The 19105-nt window shown below is 45.1% G+C and overlaps 1 long non-coding RNA gene and 1 pseudogene across 2 annotated transcripts in view, besides 3 other annotated features; one reads left to right on the forward strand and one right to left on the reverse strand.

The window, feature by feature from the left end:
• Positions 750-1251: an enhancer, noted in NCBI's record as "H3K4me1 hESC enhancer chr17:66150047-66150548 (GRCh37/hg19 assembly coordinates)". NCBI's record gives its function as "activates a minimal SCP1, AML or CMV promoter by ChIP-STARR-seq in primed H9 embryonic stem cells {active_cell/tissue: H9 hESC(primed)}" and the evidence as "EXISTENCE:reporter gene assay evidence [ECO:0000049][PMID:30033119]".
• Positions 1252-1751: an enhancer, noted in NCBI's record as "H3K4me1 hESC enhancer chr17:66150549-66151048 (GRCh37/hg19 assembly coordinates)". NCBI's record gives its function as "activates a minimal SCP1, AML or CMV promoter by ChIP-STARR-seq in primed H9 embryonic stem cells {active_cell/tissue: H9 hESC(primed)}" and the evidence as "EXISTENCE:reporter gene assay evidence [ECO:0000049][PMID:30033119]".
• Positions 3341-5904, reverse strand: RDM1P3 (RDM1 pseudogene 3; annotated as a pseudogene).
• LOC105371870 (uncharacterized) overlaps positions 12247-19105 on the forward strand; it is a 29274-nt gene continuing 22415 nt past the window's right edge. For both annotated transcript variants that reach the window (XR_934937.4, XR_001752982.3), the window contains exon 1: positions 12247-13756. This is a non-coding gene — a long non-coding RNA (uncharacterized LOC105371870). The remainder of the gene's footprint in view (positions 13757-19105) is intronic.
• Positions 16414-16913: an enhancer, noted in NCBI's record as "H3K4me1 hESC enhancer chr17:66165711-66166210 (GRCh37/hg19 assembly coordinates)". NCBI's record gives its function as "activates a minimal SCP1, AML or CMV promoter by ChIP-STARR-seq in naive H9 embryonic stem cells {active_cell/tissue: H9 hESC(naive)}" and the evidence as "EXISTENCE:reporter gene assay evidence [ECO:0000049][PMID:30033119]".

Here is a 19105-nt window from a genome sequence, read left to right on the forward strand (position 1 = left end):
CCACCCTTCAGAGATCTACCCTGGGTGTACACATGGAGAAGAGGCTTAGGTTGTTAAAGTCAGCATGTCAAATAATTTCCTGAAATGCGACTGTAACTAGAACCCAGCTGACTTCCCCCACAGCCATTCTTACCTATTGTATTACTGTCTGGCACAATTACCAGCATGTAAACTCCAAGAAGGTGCTTCATCTTCTTCCAGTGCCTGGCATAGGCATAGCGTGCACAGTGATGGTTTTAAAATTGAAGGGGGGCCAGGTGCAGTGGCTCACACCCATAATCCCAGAACTTTGGGAGGCTGAGGTAGGCGGATCACCGAGGTCAGAAGTTCAAGAACAGCCTGACCAACATGGTGAAACTCTGTCTCTACTAAAAATACAAAATTAGCCGGGTGTGGTAGCGCATGCCTATAATCCCAGCTGCTCGGGAGGCTGAGGCAGGAGGATCACTTGAACCTGGGAGGTGGAGGTTGCAGTGAGCCGAGATCGCGACATTGCACTCCAGCCTGGGCAACAAGAGTGAAACTCTGCCTCAATAAAATAAAATAAAATAAAATAAAATTGAAGGGATTCCAAGATTCGCCTCATTTAGGGATAGATCTATTGTTATAATCAGATTTCTGAAATCAGTGCTGACTTCCTCTCACATTTCACGGGAAGCTAGACTTCTTAAAGCTTGAAGTTTTCTTGGTGGGTTTTATTTAAATTGAATTAAAATAATTATTTTACAGGGAAAAACTTCAAAACACTTTGCAACTTTGGTGTAAAAGTTAAATAAAACACTCTAGCCCCAAATGAAGTTCTCACTGAAATGAAACTTTTGCCCCTTTTTTTTTTTAAATTCCATATATAGTAAATAATGACTGTTTTGAGATTTAGAAACTTAATCCCTATTTAAGAGCTTTCATATACAGTCATGAGTTGCTTGCCATCATAGCGTATACTTACACAAACTTAGGTGGTATAGCCTACAGCACACCTAAGCTATTTTTAGTAGAGACAGGGTTTCACCACGTTGGCCAGGCTAGTCTTGAACTCCTGACCTCGTGATCCACCCGTCTTGGCCTCCCAAAGTGCTGGGATTACAGGCGTGAGCCATGGCATCTGGCCTGTTTGTTTGTTTTTTGAGATGGAGTTTCGCTCTTGTTGGCCAGGATTCAGTGCAATGGCATGATGTTGGCTCACAGCAACCTTCGCCTCCCAGTTCAAGTGATTCTCTTGCCTCAGCCTCCCGAGTAGCGGGGATTACAGGCATGCGCCACCATTTCTCCATGTTGGTCAGGCTGGTCTTGAACTCCTGACCTCAGGTGATCCGCCGGCCTCGGCCTCCCAAAGCACTGGCATTACAGGTGTGAGCCACCACGCCTGGCTCTGTTACCCTTGAGTTTTTATCTCCACATACTTGAATTAAGCCGTGTAGTTCTTCTTCCCATCTGACATCTACAATCTCTTCACTGGGTCTGTACTCCACAGCTATTTTACCACTTTCTGAAATAAAGTTAGCAAGGAGCAATTCAGAATCTTTTTCATTCTAAAACTTCCTGCATATAATGGTAGCACCCCACAGTGAGACATTCTTTTGGTTTCTAAAAGCAGAAAATAAGAGCATTTTCCTGGAAGTTTCCTCATCTCATCACATACTTCCCTGTCCCTTTCCCTTTCCCCCTTCCTTCCCCTCCCTTCCCCTCCCCTCCCCTCCCTCCCTTTCTTCTTTTTCAGGGTCTCACTCTGTCACCCAGGCTGGAGTACAGTGGCACTGTCATAGCTCACTGCAGCCTGGAATTCCTGGGCTCAAGTGATCTTCCTGCCTCAGCCTCCAGAGTAGCAGGGACTACACCACTGTGCCCGGCTAATTCTCTTTTTTAGAGACATGGTCCTGCTTTGTTATTTCAGGCTGTCTCGAACTCCTGACTTGAAGTGTCCTTCTGTCTTGGCCTCCCAAAGTGCTGAGATTTGAGGTGTGAGTCACCATGTCCGGTCTCACACCTCAGTTTTTAACATATGTATGAAATATCAACTGTGTTTGGTTCAAAGGACTTTATGATCTTACAGATAGGAACTAAGGAATAATAACATAAGAAATAAAAAATTTGGAAACAAAAATGTTCAATCACAATATTAAATAGTAAGGCATCAGGTGGGGGGGTCGAAGTTCAAATCCAAAATGGAGACCACTGGGCTAGTAGACACTTCACATTAGAAGCACGGCTAGGTGTCTACTCCCTGAGAACCAAAATTCCACCAGATACAATGAGCAAAGCTTCAGAGAGAGAGAACACTTGAACATTTTATTGGCAGAAAATATCCCGCATACTCTATAGACAATACAACTTCCTTCAAGGCAAATTAGAGATATAAGGCTTTTGGTCTAAGAAGTTTTGAGTGTGTGCAAGGGATACCTTTGTATACTAGGGAGAGGTAAACAACCCACACATTTAGCTTGGTTATTAAAGGTTGTTACTCAGACTTGACAGTTGATGACCAAGGAAGTAAGACTTTCACTAGAAGGGCGGCCCAGGTTGGAAAGCCGAGAGCAATCAGGGCCACCTCTTACAAGCAAATAAGGTCTGTGGTAACTTAATTAGGATCTCTGTCTCTAAGTCTTCAGGGCTGTGAAGCAGAAGAGCAACTCTGTTCAGGGACTCTTTGCTAAACATCGGGCTTCCTCTGGGCACAGCCTATAACATTTGCACCACTGTAGAACTGAACAGGGAATACAAGCAATGGCATTCAATAGCATGACCACTTCCAAGGCTCACAGCAAAGCAACTGATTATTGCATAAGAATCCTATTTGGCCAATATGTCAGTGCCAGAAATGAAAGCTGGAACTGAATTCTCGATTCGGGAAACATAATCTAGTAAACTCTTCGGCAGAGAGTTTATTCAGAGAGAAAACAACAATAATAGCATATTTTGTCGCTTACCTTGTAAGTATAGTTCTGAGTTTTTACATTTGTCATCTCATTTTCTCAAACAATATCCCCCATAAGGTTGATTGGATTACTAACCCCAGTTTGCAGATAAAGAGATTGCAGCTTAGAGATATTAAATATCTTCAAATCTCTCTGGCTATAAGACTTAAAATTGAATAAAAAAAAATCTAAGAGACAGAGTTAGGACTCAAGTCCATGTGTCCAAAGCTTATAATCACTATTCTGTATGATAGGCATGCAATTAAAGAAGACCTGCCTCAAACATTTTCCGTGTGAACTGAGGCAAGTCCTTTTACAACTATAAACTAGGGACAATAGTTGCTGCCATTTTTTCTACAAATGTCACAAATAACAAATTTGAGCCTGTTGCTGTGAAAGAATTTAGCAAATGAAAGCATACTATGGAGTGTTTTAGATATCGATATTTTTATCCAATTAACTTTTCAAAATGAGTTTATTTGCTCATTGAAACTGAAGTTAAAATTAAGAAAGTTTTACCTAGAACCACAATCAACAGTTTCTGGAATGCATCTGACAAAACCTTCTGAATAGCAAGCTTCTGGGCTGTCTTCCCTTTCATAAGGAACAATAACGGTCTTAAATCCAACCAAAACAAATGGATTTAAGATACCTATCTGAGTGATAATTGCTACACGTTTAAAAAATAAAAATGCATCCATGATTCTTAGCTCATAATCTTCATGATTAAGGGTAGACAGCACAAGGGTATGGTTGAATGGCTCTGTTATAGGTACATCCTGGCAGGGCCCATTTTTACTGCCTCCATCTAGTTGGGAAGTTCCGGAAGTACTAGAAGGGAGATACAAGCCAAGAACCTGGCACATGCTCACATCACCCAGAGATTTCAAATTCATCAGTTAAGGCTACACTCCTACAGACCCTACCCTCCTATGCATCAAGGGCTGAAATCACTCACCGAAAAAGGTTTGGTTGGCTGGACATGGTGGCCCATGCCTGTAATCCCAGCACTTTGGAAGGCCAAGGTGGGTGGAGGCCGGGAGTTCAAGAACAGCCAGGCCAACATGGTAAAACCTCATCTTTACTAAAAATACAAAAATTAGAGAAGTGTGGTGGCATGTGTCTGTAATCCCAGCTACTTGGGAGTCTGAGGCACAAGAATAGCTTGAACTGGGAGGTGGAGGTTCCAGTGAGCCGAGATCATACCACTGCACTCTAGCCTGGGCGACAGAGTGAGACTATTCTTAAAAAAAAAAAAAAAAAAAAAAGAGACCAGGCGCAGTGGCTCACACCTGTAATCCCAGTACTTTGGGAGACCAAGATGGGCAGATCATTTAGATCACCTGAGGTCAGGAGTTTGAGACCAGCCTCGGCAACATGGTGAAACCCTGTCTCTATTAAAAATACAAAAAAAAAAAAAAAAAATTAGCTGGGTGTGGTGGTGGGCAGGAGGCAGCAGAATTGCTTGAACCTGGGAGGTGGAGGTTGCAGTGAGCCGAGATCACACCAGTGCACTCCAGCCTGGGTGACAGAGCGAGACTCCATCTCAAAAAAAAAAAGGACTGAATGTTAACACAAAAGTTTTTGTAAATCTTTAGATGATGACCTGGCATGGTGGGTGGCTCATGCCTATAACCCCAGCATCTTGAGATCCTGAGGCAAGAGGATCACTTGAGGCCAGGAGCTTGAGACCAGGCAGGACAACACAGCGAGATCCCCCATCTCTAGAAAAAATAATTAGCCACATGTGGTGGTGCATGCCTATAGTCCTGGCTACTCAGGAGGCTGAGGTAAGAGAATCCCTTGAGCCCAGGAGTTCGAGGTTACAGTGAGCTATGATCATGCTACTGCACTCTAGCCTGGGCAACAGAGTGAGACCCTGTCTCTAAAAAAATAATAATAATAAAAAGATAAATAAATAAATCTAGATGATTTGCTGGGATAACTGAAGGCTACAAGAGATACGTATGTGAAGGACTATTTTAGTACAAAACAAGTTCTTAACCCAAAACTGGAAAAACATTACTTCGTTCTTCCTCCTAAGCTTCCTGGCAGGAAATTGACTTTACAATTTTAAATTTAAAGGTTTTGTCAGGTATTGCCTAAGGTGAAAACCTATATTGTAAGACACAAAAACTCTGCCTAGGACTTCAGTAGCTCAGAGAGGGAAGGACTTAATATGTGTCTGAAAAGATGAGTTTTAGAAATTAAGAAAAAAGAGATCATTCCCACTTCAACTCCTTACTCTACTCTACCCCCATTGAAAACAGACCTTCCTCCGCCTTACCCACAGGTTCCTCCACCAAGCCAATGCCAGACTCCTGCAATCATAGGATGGCAGCACCACCTCTAAAGCACAGAACTTCAGGCTTTGCTTCGGAAGTGGCACCATGTCTCTTCATTTTCCCTTTCTTCAAGGGAAAATCCTTGAAGAAATTTCCTTCAGAAAACTCCTGAAGCTGTTAGAATTTTTAGTGTGAGTTCCTTCCAAGGATATTAATTAGGCTTCAAACTGTTTTGTTCTGAGAAATAAAAACTAAACTCCAGTCATTCAAGCTAAGAGTTGAGGCATTCTATGGCTTCAAAATCAAGTAAGATTTGCAAAGGAATTGCTAGATACAACCGTTTTTTATTATATGCCACACAAACAGTGGAGAAAATTATGGATACCACCATCCAAGTGATTGAGATTATTAATTTAGGTAGCAGGCCAATTCAGACATGTCCACTTATCAATGGCAGGAGGCCTCTCACATCTCCTCCCTATAACCCATTTCAATACTTCTGTCTACGGTCTAGAATTTCAATGTTGAAAGGAGAGTGTGGTTATTGAAAGAAATCTACAAAGTTTACCCTGATGATCCTTTTTGACATCTACTGAAATCAAAGTAGTAATTCGGCAGTTCTTGGCATCAGGAGCTGTTTAGGGCAAGAGCTTGTTGTGGAACTGCCTTATGTCTGGTGCCAAGACGAACCTAAAGTCACAAGAGATAGACCCATAAATATCACAACCTGCCAGAGATTTGAAAGAAAAAGAAAAGGACACTTAAACTAGATGGCAGTGGTGGTCAGGTGGTAACCCAAGGCTCTGAGTTCAGTAAGTAAATCTAATATGAATGCCCTCTCCTTTCACCTATCTATTGACTTGTAGAACATTTCCTTCATTACTGCATCAGCGATGAGCTTTATTCTGTGAAATTCTCAAAACCTAAAGCTTATGAAGTGGTCTCAATGTCCAAAGCGCACTACAAACTCATTACGTACAAAATGATGCCAACTAACTGTTTCATCATCTTTACCGTACCTTTACAATATTTGAGTGGCTATGTGAAATGGTCACAGGTTAGAAACAGATCATAGTCCAAAAGTTAAATAATATATTACAGGTAATCATTTCAGTCACAGGAAGTGGGACCAGGATTGAAGAGGGTGTTGAACAAGCTACAGAAGTGGGTATAGAATACCCGGAGTCATTACTAAGCAGAGTTCTCAGATTCGATCAAGGTTAATTCGATGAGGAATGGAATATAGACAAGAATAGGCAGCAAGATTAGCAGGAAGCAGTCAGATCAAGTAGCCAATCAGGCATTGAAATGGTCCTTGAAAAAGGAAAGGTGATTGAGTCGAGGCATACAATGAAATATCATTCTGTGGTTCTGGGAAAGTAAAATTGGTTGGCATGTTAGCATGGAATAGGGTTTCTACAAGGCCGCTTAAAGAATGTTCCCACTCTGAGAACTGAGGGGAGTTCCAAATAAGCAGTTTGTGAGTGATGATGAACATGATGATGATGATAAAGTCTCCTTATGTAAGAGCTGGCAGAAGAGTTGGTCACACCTACATGTTTTAAATTCACATAAAAGTAAATATATGGCCGGGTGTGGTGGCTCACACCTGTAGTCTCAGCACTTTGGAGGGGCTGAGGCAGGCGGATCACTTGAGGTCAGGAGTTGGAGACCAGCCTGGCCAACATGGTGAAACTCCATCTCTACTAAAATACAAAAATTAGCCAGGCGTGGTGGTGTGTGCCTATAATCCAAGCTACTCAGGAGGCTGAGGCAGAAGAATTGCTGGAACCCGGGAGGCGGAGGTTGCAGTGAGCCAAGATTGCGCCACTGCACTCCAGCCTGGGCGAGAGAGACTCCATCTCAAAAAAAAAAAGGTAAATATAGCTAGGCATGGTGGCTTGTACCTAGCTACTTAAGAGGCTGAGGCAGGAGGATTGCTTGAGGTCAGGACTTAGAGACCAGCCTGGGCAACACAGTGATACTGTGTCTCTAAAATATTTTAAAAAGTAAATATAAGCAGAACTCTTCTGGTGAAAATTTCATTCATTCATTCATTTTTTAGAGATAGGGTTTCACTCTGTTGCCCAGGCTGGAGTGCAGTGATGCAATCATAGCTCACTGCAGCCTCAAACTCCTGGGCCCAAGCAATCCTCCCATCTCAACCTCCCAAATAGCTGGGACTACAGGTGCATGCCACTACAACTGGCTGATTTAAATTCTTTTTCTCTCTCTCACTCTCTCTCTGTGTCTCTGTCTCCGTCTGTCTGTCTGTCTTTTTCTTTCGTCTGACTCCGTTGTCCAGGCTGGAGTGCAGTGGCACAATCTCACCTCACTGAAACCTCCACCTCCTGAGCTCAAGCAATTCTCCTGCCTCAGCTTCCCGAGTAGCTGGGATTGCAGGCACCGTCCACCACACCTGGCTAATTTTTGTACTTTTAGTAGAGATGGGATTTCACCATGTTGGCCAGACTGGTCTCAAACTCCTGATCTCACCCACCTTGGCCTCCCAAAGTGCTGGGATTACAGGCATGAGCCACTGTACCTGGCCTGAAAAAAATAATACTTTTGATAAATCTGAAAATCTGGGGCTATTTCTGTCACTGAGAGAAGGTGTGTCTTTCCCCTTAAACTAGGTTCATGTTGCTGAGGAGGCAGAGGGCTGAGTTCTTCCATCCATCGCCTTCAAGTGTCAGGCGGCTTCCGGTTGGACAAGATGGCTACCCCAGTGGGCTTGTTTCCTCTCTGGTCTCTTTTTCTGTCTAAGACTCACTCCATACCAGCCTGAGCTTGGGACCATTGTTTTGCTCCTCTCATCCTCCTACCCCCAGAGCTGACAGATTTAGCAAATAAAATTTACAAGATCCTGTTAAATTAGAATTTCGGACAAACAACAAACTACCCCACACTGTCTCAGGAGGGTCCCTCAGAGATAAGTGTCACTGAGCCTCGGGAAGGAGGAAGCTCCATCCCTGCCCATCAAGCCCCCTCTTGGGGTCCCCTCAAGGAAGACAGTGGTTCCAGAAGGTGTGTTCCCACCCCCTTTCACAGCCTACCTCTCTCCCATCCCTCTCTGACCCCAGGTTCCAGCTGGCCTGGGGATTTCTGGGAGGATCCGAAGAACAAGGCCATCTGCAGTAGGAGCCTCCTGTTCCTCGCCACCTACGCTTCAGCCCTGCCCAACTAACAGCTCTCCATGTTCTAAAGAAGGCAGGAGTGCTGGACCACCCCAGCCTTCTGGAACCCCAGTTCTGTGACATTATCCATCTCCTGGAAATATGCTGGTTTTAACCATGCAAATTAGTTAAGCATCAGGCAGAAATAGCAGCTGGGCCTGGAAGCACAGGTGACGTCTGTGAGGAAAATGGCTGGGTGGGACAGGGTGGAGAGCACGGGCTGTTCCCTTCCTTTCTGGGAACAGCACCACCTTTGGGGTAACTCCTTCTCTCATGGGGTTTTAGGCGGGGGCTGCCAGTGCCAGTGCCCGGTCCCCTGTCACCCCCCATAGTCATAGGAACGCTTCTGCGCCAGTCACTACATTTATAAGGGGAAGCTGGTGGAGCTGCTCAGCTTCCAACAGGAAGCCCATGTGTGCAGGGCCAGAGGACACAGCCCATCTGAGGTGCTAAGCTTCTGTGAAGAGGGAGTGGAGTCTGGACCGGATTCCAGTCCCACGGTCCACCCTTTCTGGGACCCAAACACACCCTTCCCCTTCCTTCAATTCTGAGAAGCAGTAAATGTCCCTACTTGCGAACAAGTTTGAGTTGGGTTTCTGTCACTTGCAGCCAAAAGAAACCTGCCAGCTACTGTCAGCATCGGTCAACCATCTGTGAAACTGTGAGCTGACAACCTGTCCCCTCCCTGTGAAGGCCACAACATCCCAACACCATTAGTCACCAAGGAAGTCTGGGAGAAATTTCTACCAGAAAGGGGCAAGGGAGGAAACATTTTGTTACTGCTGGCCCACTCTACCCTCTGAAACAGGGCGGCAGGATCTGGCAGAAAGAAAGTTTACAAGGGGCTTCTAAGCAGGCAGTGCTGCCCCATGCCCCCCGGGCTTCTCCTCCCAGCAGGGCAGCAGCATATGGCACCCTGGGATAGGAGGTCTGCAGGGGCGGGGGCGGGGAGGCTGAACATCCTGGGGGCACCACTTTATGAGGAACCATTTATGGCCAGAACTCTACAGGGGCTTCAGGGACCTGAATGAACTCATCTCTGTAGAGTGAGAGTCCTGGGCAGGAGGAGAGGTTTCCATAGCCCAGGACCACATGCTGGAAATTTGGTCTCTGCAGCTTAAAATCTGAGAGAAGATGGTGTCTGCAGCATTCAAAGGGGGACCAGAGGGACCCTCCACCCCTGGCCCCCCCAGCTATTACAAACATGAGCCCTGGGAAGATTCCTATCAAAAACCCAAGCTGGGGCCCATGAGTCAAGTCTGGACGTGCAGTTTGGGGCAAGAGGACAGATGGACGCCACAGGCCATCTGTCTAAATATTTCCAAATTATAAATTAAACTAACAGGGTGTTAAATAAAGTATGTTCTAACCTCATCCCCTGACAAATATTCCTTTAAAATGATAAAATTTAAAAATGTGTATGAAGCTATGATTTGTACATGACAGAAAGTTAGCAAAATATCAAAGATCATAAAATTTTTTTGCTTTTTTTTTTTTTTTTTTTTGGAGACGGAGTCTCACTCTGTTGCCCAGGCTGGAGTGCAGTGACGCGATCTCGGTTCACTACAGCCCCTGCCTCCCGGGTTCAAGCAATTCTTAATATTGAGATGCGTAATAAAATAAAGATATGTGTAATTTATAAATTACTGAAACTATTCCATGAAATTTATTTTTATTCCTTTCAGCAAAATCAATTATTATTGTCAAGATTTAAAAATACATGTAAGAAGGCTGGGCGCGGTGGCTCATGCCTATAATCCCAGTATTTTGGGAGGCCACGGCAGGCGGATCACGAGGTCAGGTGATCCAGACCATCCTGGCTAACAAGGTGAAACCCCGTCTCTACTAAAAATACAAAAATTAGCTGGGCGTGGTGGCGGGTGCCTGTAGTCCCAACTACTCCGGAGGCTGAGGCAGGAGAATGACGTGAACCTGAGAGGCGGAGCTTGCAGTGAGCCAAGATGGCGCCACTGCACTCCAGCCTGGGCAACAGAGTGAGACTCCATCTCAAAAAAAAAAAAAAAAAATACATGTAAGGATTAAAACAGTCATATTCACAGTACAAGTATCTTAACATTTTCATCAAAATAAGTTTATGTAAAAAATTTAATTTTGTCAGAAATGTTTTCCCAAACAATATTCTTTTCAAATATTGAAAAGTATCTATTGCTGGGCCCAGTAGCTCACGCCTATAATCCCAGCACTTTGGGAGGCTGAGGCAGGCAGATCATGAGGTCAGGAGTTTGAGACCAGCCTGGCCAATATGGTGAAACCCCCATCTCTACTAAAAATACAAAAAATATTAGCCAGGTGTGGTGGCGCACCTGTAGTCCCAGCTACTTGGGAGGCTGAGGCAGAAGAATTGCTTGAACCCGGGAGGCAGAGGCTTCAGTGAGCCGAGGTCGTGCCACTGCACTCCAGCCTGAGCGACAGAGCGAGACTCCATCTCAAAAAAAAAAAGAAAGAAAAGTACCTATTAAACCAAAAGGCAACATACAAATTAGAATTAATCAAATTTGTAAATCAAAATGATTGAAATCCATTTTATTTTGATTTTTGAAAACTTAATTAAATTACATTAAATTAAAATTCATAATTCTAGCATTCAATGACCACCTCATTGCCAATGTAAAGAAAAGGTGGCCGGGTGCAGTGGCTTGCGCCTGTAATCCCAGCACTTTGGGAGGCCAAGGCGGGCAGATCACGAGGTCAGGAGATCGAGCCCATCCTGGCTAACATGGTGAAACCCCGTCTCTACTAAAAATACAAACAAAACAAAACAAAAAGCCAGGCATGGTGGTGGGCGCCTGTAGTACCAGCTACTTGGGAGGCTGAGGCAGGAGAATCACTTGAACCCGGCAGGTGGAGCTTGCAGTGAGCTGAGATCGCGCCACTGCACTCTAGCCTGGGCGACAGAGCAAGACTCCATCTCAAAAAAAAAAAAAAAAAAAATTAGTAAGCATCACAGTTTGTCTGAGGGCTAGACACAGATACAAATTTAAGAATAATGTGTAATGTGATTTACTTCATCCTTTTCTCGTTTGCCCAGAGAAGACTCACCGGTGGCACCTGCAGCTGCAGCATCTTCCCGAAGATAACTTTGCCATGAAATATCTCACTTTATTATTATTTTCGCATCACTCTAGTATATCCACTTTGGAAACAAAAGGCATCATTCTATTTATAGCATTGTGTTTTTAGTAGCGGGATTTCCATTTACAAAATACAGTAATTGTCCATGGCTGAAAATATCAAATCCTAGAAAACATAGCATTCCTACACATGATACTAACATCATTCTCCAACAGTTGTTGGCCAAAGATTCATTTGATGAATCTGATTTTTCCAGAATAGACTATTCTGATGATTCAGATGATTCTGATGTTAGTTCTGTTTATAAATAATTCCAAGAACAGTTTTTATATTTTATTTTCAAACTGAAAATCATTCAGATTTGTGGCCAGGCATGGTGGCTCATGCCTGCAATCCCAGCACTTTGGGAGGCAGAGGCAGATGGATCACCTGAGGTCAGGAGTTCCAGACCAGCCTGGCCAACATGGTGAAACCCCGACTCTACTAAAAAATAGAAAAATTAGCCAGCTGTGGTGGCAGGCACCTGTAATCCCAGCTACTCGGGAGGCTGAGGCAGGAGAATTTCTTGAACCTAGGAGGCAGTGGTTGTGGTGAGCTGAGATCACACCACTGCACTCCAGCCTGGGTGACAGAGCAAGACTCTGTCGAAAGAAAGAAAGAGAGAGAGGGAGTGAGGGAGGAAGGAAGGAAGGAAGAAGTCAGATTTGCTTCAGCATCAAAGAGCATGTTTCTGTAAAAGGAAGGAAAGGAAGGGAAGGGGAGGGAGGAGGGAGGCGGGGAAGGAAGGAAATCCGTGATATTTGCTTCAGCCTCAAAGAGCATGTTTCTGTAAAATTAAATGAGCACTGGCAGTGAGCTGCCCCTTTTTTCCTAAACGGGAAAAGGGTTAATATTGCAAACTTTTCCTCAGCTTCTATGCAACTGAGACAAATACTGTGCTAACTCATGAGGACCTCTGGAACCATGATATGTTAACTTGTCTTTCTCTTATCTAAGTCCTTTTCTGCCCACAGCTTCTCTGTACATCAAAATAGTGCCTACCAGAGGCCCCATTCAACCTTTAGATTTAGTTATAATTTTTCCCATGGACAGAGGATAAGATGTAGAGAAGCATCCCTCTGGGGCCTGAAAATTGTCAGTCAAGAGAGGATGCATGGGGTTAGGTGGTGCTGCACCAACGCCAGGCACCAGATCCAGACTAGCAGAGGCATCCTGTGGGCCTTAATGTTTTTTGTTTTTTTGTTTTTTTGTTTTTGTTTGTTTTTGAGACAGCCTTGCTCTGTCACCCAGGCTGGAGCGCAGTGGTGCAATCTCAGCTCACTGCAACCTCTGCCTCCCAGGTTCAAATGATTCTCATGCCTCAGCCTCTCTAGTAGCCGGGATTACAGGCATGTGCCACCGCGCCCGGCTAATTTTCGTATTTTTACTAGAGACGGGGTTTTGTCATGTTGTCCAGGATGGTCTCGAACTCCTGGCCTCAGGTGAACTGCCCACCTTGAGCTCCCAAAGTGCTGGGATTACAGACATGAGCCACCACACCCAGCCTTGTAGTCCTTAATTAATTTAGTTTTTTTGTATGTAGAGTTCTCTAAATTGCAGGGCCCAGTCAGGGGCTCCTCTTGTCAGCTCTAAGGACAGGACTGGGAAAATATACTTCTGGAAATAAATTGCTGTAGAAAACAGAGGATTTTTTTTCCCCCCGAGATGGAGTCTTGCTCTGTTGCCCAGAGCTGGAGTGCAATGGCGCAATCTTGGCTCACTGCAACCTCCCCCTTCCGGGTTCAAGCAATTCTCCTGCCTCAGCCTCCCGAGTAGCTGGGATTACAGGTGCCTGCCATCACACCTGGCTAATTTTTGTATTTTTAGTAGAGACGGGGTTTCACCATGTTGGCCAGGCTGGTCTCAAACTCCTGACCTTGTGATCTGCCCACCTAGACCTCTCAAAGTGTTGTGATTACAGGCGTGAGCCACAGCGCCCACCCTACAGAGAGGAAATTTTAAGGAAATGTCTGCTTTGAATACTCAATAAAATATAAGACAAAACCAAAAATGATACAGTGTGCTGAAATTCTGACAGCAATGATAAAAGAATTTTCAAGGAACTGAAATCCAGTGACAAAAATGAAATCGATCAAGGCTGTAGTTGCACACCTGAGACATTCCTCGAGAAGGCAGAGGAGAAAGGTGTGAAAAACAGTGAACCAGAGAAGGATGGCCAGGGACAACAAAGATTGGAGCTCGGAAGTTGAATGACAGATATTCTGGAGAAACACACCAGAGATGACAAAAGGTGGGTCTGTGGAGCTGACAGGTGTACTTTGTTCCAAAAAAAAAAAAAAAAAAAGACCGTCACTGCTTAGACATATTTCAAATCATATGATTAATAAGACTGAATTTTTGGCTTTATTATCAGGCTTGTCTTTACTCCACAGAAGGTATACCTTCTCAGATATTTCAGGAATAAGTACACAAATTGATATAAACTGGGTTACAAAAAATACCTCAAGCTTTCCAAGGAGAAATTATATAGATAAATATTCTGACTACAATTAAAATCCCACAGAGACCAGCCTGGCCAACATGGTGAAACCCTGTCTTAACTGCTTTTGTTCCAATAAAACAAAATAGAGAGCAGGATCCTCAGGCTTCGATGCTATTTGCTTAATCCAGGTGGTCTGTGGAGATGCCTGGGACAGAAAGCAGCAGCCGGACTCCAGAATCCCCCATGTTAATAGCTATTCTATGCTATGTCCCCGTCTTATTGCTGGCAACTCACCTCTCAGCTCAAGCATTGTGACATTACAGCAAGAAGTATTAATATAAATGACACAAAAGAAAAAAGAAACCATGGGGTTTTGTTTTATTAAGTAGGTAGGCATTGTACATGTGCAGGGTGGGAAATGATCAGGAGACAGGTATCCAATGAGCATCTGCCATGTATCAGGCACTGCGCAATGTTCCTTACATACCACGATCCCATTTAATCTTCAAAAAACACTGCAGAGGGCTACCACTGCCTTCCTTTTACACACGAAAAAACTGAGACTTAACAGTTGCTCATGGGAAGTTGAACCAAGAGTCAAAACAAAAGACTTTCAGGCCCCAAAGGCTGCACTGTTTCCACTGCACAAAGTTGTCTGCACTGTGAGCAACAGAGGAGAGGAAAGGGGACTAAAAACAAAAACCAAAAATCCCATAAATAAAATAAATGAACTGAGCCTTCAACCCAAAAAGTTATAAGGAGCAGAAGGAAAACATTTCCAAGGAAATCAGGAAGAAGCAAGCTTAAGAATAAAAGCATGACATGTGTATTTAATTGGATCCAGGGGAAACTATTGGGGTGAGATGTTAAAAACGGAGTTAGGAAATGACTGGAGAACTTGTGTATTACACTCCACTTCCTATGGACCTTGGGTCCTTCTCTGTAACACTAATGTTTGACTAAATTCTTCAAAGTTTCCTTGCAAGGAGACGGCCACTCTGAAGCCAAGGAGTTACCACCAACAGACTCCTTTAATAACAACACAATAGGTAAATTACCCCTGAAGGCAAATATAACTGATTATCTTATAGTAGCAGGTTTTAAAACCTTGTCTCAAAAGCATTGCTATGGGCCAGGCACAGTGGCTGACACCTATAATCTCAGCACTTTGGGAGGCTGAAGTGAGAGGATTGCTTGAGCACAGGAGTTCAAGACCAGCCTGGGCAATATAGTGAGATACTGTCTCTACAAAAAATAAAGTGAGGTAAATTAGTGGGGCATAGTGCTGTATGTCTATAGTTCCAGCTATCTGGAAGGCTGAGGTGGGAGGATCTCTTGAGCACAGAAGGTCAAGGCTGCAGTGAGCTATGATTGTGTGTCTGGAATTGGTGGGTTCTTGGTCTCACTGACTTCAAGAATGAAGCCACAGACCTTTGTGGTGAGTGTTATAGTTCTTAAGGTGGCACATCTGGAGTTTGTTCCTTCTGATGTTCAGATGTGTTTGGAGTTTCTTCTTTCTGGTGGGTTCGCGGTCTTGCTAGCTCAAGAGCGAAGCTGCAGTTCTTCACAGTGAGTGTTACAGCCATAAAAGCAGTGTGGACCTAAAGAGTGAGCAGTAGCAAGATCTATTGCAAACAACAAAACAACAAAGCCTCCACAGTGTTGAACAAGACGCGATGCAGGTTGCCACTGCTGGTTCAGGCAGCCTGCTTTTATTCTCTTATCTGGCCCCACCCACGTCCTGCTGATTGGTAGAGCTGAGTGGTCTGTTTTGACAGGACACTGATTGGTGTGTTTACAATCCTTGAGCTAGATATAAAGGTTCTCCACGTTCTTATCAGATTAGTTAGATACAGTTTTGACACACAGGGTCTCCAAGGCCTCACCAGAGCAGCTAGATACAGAGTGTCGATTGGTGCACTCACAAACCTTGAGCTAGACACAGGGTGCTGATTGGTGTGTTTACAAACCTTGCGCTAGATACAGAGTGCTGATTGGTGTATTTACAATCCTTGAGCTAGACATAAAGGTTCTCCAAGGCCCCACCAGAGCAGCTAGATACAGAGTGTCGATTGGTGCACTCATAAACCCTGAGCTAGACACAGGATGCTGATTGGTGTGTTTACAGTCTCTGAGCTAGACATAAAGACTCTCCACGTCCTTACCAGACTTAGAAGCCTAGCTGGCTTCACCTAGTGGATCCTGCACCGGGGTTGCAGGTGGAGCTGCCTGCCAGTCCTGCGCCATGCGCTCGCATTGCTCAGCCCTCGGGCGGTAGATGGGACTGGGCGCCGTGGAGCAGGGGGCGGCGCTCCTCGGGGAGGCTCCAGCTGCACAGGAACTTACGGAGGCGGGGGAAGGCTCAGGCATGGCGGGCTGCAGTCCTGAGGCTTGCCTTGAGGGAAGGCAGCTAAGGCCCGGCGAGAAATTGAGCGCAGCGCCGGTGGGCTGGCACTGCTGGGGAACCTAGTACGCCTTCCGCAGCCGCTGGCCCGGGTGCTAAGTCCTTCATTGCCCAGTGCCGGCAGGGCCGGCCGGCTGCTCTGAGTGCGGGGCTGCCAAGCCTACGCCTACCCGGAACTCCAGCTGGCCCGCAAGCGCGGCACGCAGCCCCGGTTCCCGCTCGCGCCTCTCTCTCCACACCTCTTTGCAAGCTGAGAGAGTGGGCTCCGGCCTTGGCCAGCCCAGAAAGGGGCTCCTACGGTGCAGCGGTAGGCTGAAGGGCTCCTCAAGTGCCGCCAAAGTAGGATCCCAGGCAGAGGAGGCGCCGAGAGCGAGCGAGGGCTGTGAGGACTGCCAGCATGCTGTTACCTCTCAATTGCACCACTGCACTCCCCACCCTGGGTGACAGAACGAGATCCTGTCTCAAGAAAGCATTGCTAAACACTTTCTTCCATAAAATTATATTTTGCCCTGAGGGAGGCCCCCAGCCAGACTGTGAAGTGCCACCTCCTGCTGCTGGCCCCTGAGGGTAGCGGGCAAGGAAGGAGCATGTCTCTGCTGTGGGAAGTGCCAGGGAAAAGCCCCTGGATTGGGTCACCATGAAACGCAAAGTGGGTGAAATACAAACATACCTTTGAAAGACAAATACGGACCTTAGTGAATGAGTCTGGGTCATGGCTGGACCGGAGAAATCCCAGGGTGAGCCAGCCCAAACACACCATCCATGGAATAAAAAAAGGAACTGCTACTCCAATGGTCAGCCCTGTGAGAAACGCATCCTTCCATCCAGCTAAAATCTGCCTGTGTCCATCTTGTCTGCTCAACACCAGTCCCCATGCTTTGGGACACAGAGCACTGTACCCTCCTGCATGGAATGGCCAGCCACTGGGCTTCAGAGCCAAACAAACCTGGGCTCAAAGGCCAGCCCTGACTCTCTGTTGTGTGATGTCCGGCATAATGGTGCTAGTAGTTGATGTGCCCATCTGCCCCACCTCTGCCTGGCTGTACTTGTAGCTAGTACATGTATACTATATATGTGCCCGACTGTTTCATTGTATGTTCCAGGATGGTCATGCCTGAGTTTTTTTTTTTTTTTTTTTTGGTGGGGGGAATCTCACTCTATTGCCCAGGCTGGAGTGCGGTAGCACGATCACGGCTCACTGAAGCCTCAAATCCCTAGCCTTAAGTGATCTACCTATCTCAGCCTCCTGAGTAGCTGGGACTACCGACCTGCACCACCAAGCCTGGCTAATTTTTTAAAATTTTTGTAGAGGTTGAGGAGGGAGGGGCTCTGTTGCCCAGGCTAGTCTCGAACTCCTGGACTCAAGTGATCCACCTGCCTCGGCACTGGGATTACAAGTGTGAGCCATCACACCCAGCTTCCCTGAGCCTTTATACAGAACTCGCCTTTGAGTTAGGTTCTGTTGTATATTCTAGTTAGGGCATTATATTGATTTTTTAAATTACTATCATTCTGAATTAATAACAAATTGTGGTACATTCATACAGTGGAATAGAACTCAGCAATAAAAAGTAATGAGGGGAGGTGGGGATGGTTAATGGGTACCAAAAAAAAAAAAAAAACCTGATTGAGTAAGTCCTAGTATTTGAGAGCACAATAGGGTGGCTATAATCAATAATAATTTAATTATATATTTAAAAATAACTAATGGCTGGGCATGCTGGCTTACGCCTGTAATGCCAGCACTTTGGGAGACAGAGGCAGGTGGATCACCTGATGTCAGGAATTCGAGACTAGTCTGACCAACATGGTGAAACCCTGTCTCTACTAAAAATACAAAATTAGCTGGGCCTAGTGGCACGTGCCTGTAATCTCAGCTATTTGGGAGGCCGAGGCAGAAGAAATGCTTGAACCCAGGAGGCAGAGGTTGCAGTGAGCCAAGATAGCACCACTGCACTCCAGCCTGGGCAACAAGAGTGAAACTCCATCTCAAAAATAAATAAATAAATGAAAATAAAAATAAGAGTATATAATTGGATTGTTTGTAACACAAAGGATAAATGCTTGAGGGTCTGGAAACCCCATTTTCCATGATGTGATTATTATGCACTGCATTCCTGTATCAAAACATCTCAGGTATCCCAGAAATACATACGCTTACAATGTACCCACAAAAACTATAATTAAAAATTTAAAAAGTAATGAACTGTTGGCACACAAAACAACATGGATAAATCTCAAAATAATTATGGTGAGTGAAAGAAGCCTGACAAAAAAAAGTACACACTGTATGATTCCATGTCTAGAAAGCACTAGAAAATATAAACTAACCTATGATGACAGAAAGCAGATCAGGGTCAGGCATGGTGGCTCACACCTGTAATCCCAGTGCTTTGGGAGGCGGATCACATGAGGTCAGGAATTCGAGACCAGCCTGGCCAAAGTGGTGAAACCCAGTCTCTACTAAAAATACAAAAATTAGCCAGGCATGGTGTCGGGCACCTGTAGTCCCAGCTATTTGGGAGGCTGAGGCAGGAGAATTGTTTGAACCTGGGAGGCAGAGTTTGCAGTGAGCCAAGATCGCGCCACTGCACTCCGGCCTGGGTGACAGAGCGAGACTCCGTCTCAAAAAAAAAAGGAAAAAAGAAAAAGAAAGCAGATCAGTAGTTGTTTGGGGGTGATGGGGAAGTAGAAAGGGCAGAAAGCAGGATCACCGGGGGTAATGAGGAAACTTTTTGAGAGGATGGATATCT

This window comes from Homo sapiens, chromosome 17 (assembly GCF_000001405.40).
Source record: "Homo sapiens chromosome 17, GRCh38.p14 Primary Assembly".
NCBI classification, from domain to species: domain Eukaryota; kingdom Metazoa; phylum Chordata; class Mammalia; order Primates; family Hominidae; genus Homo; species Homo sapiens.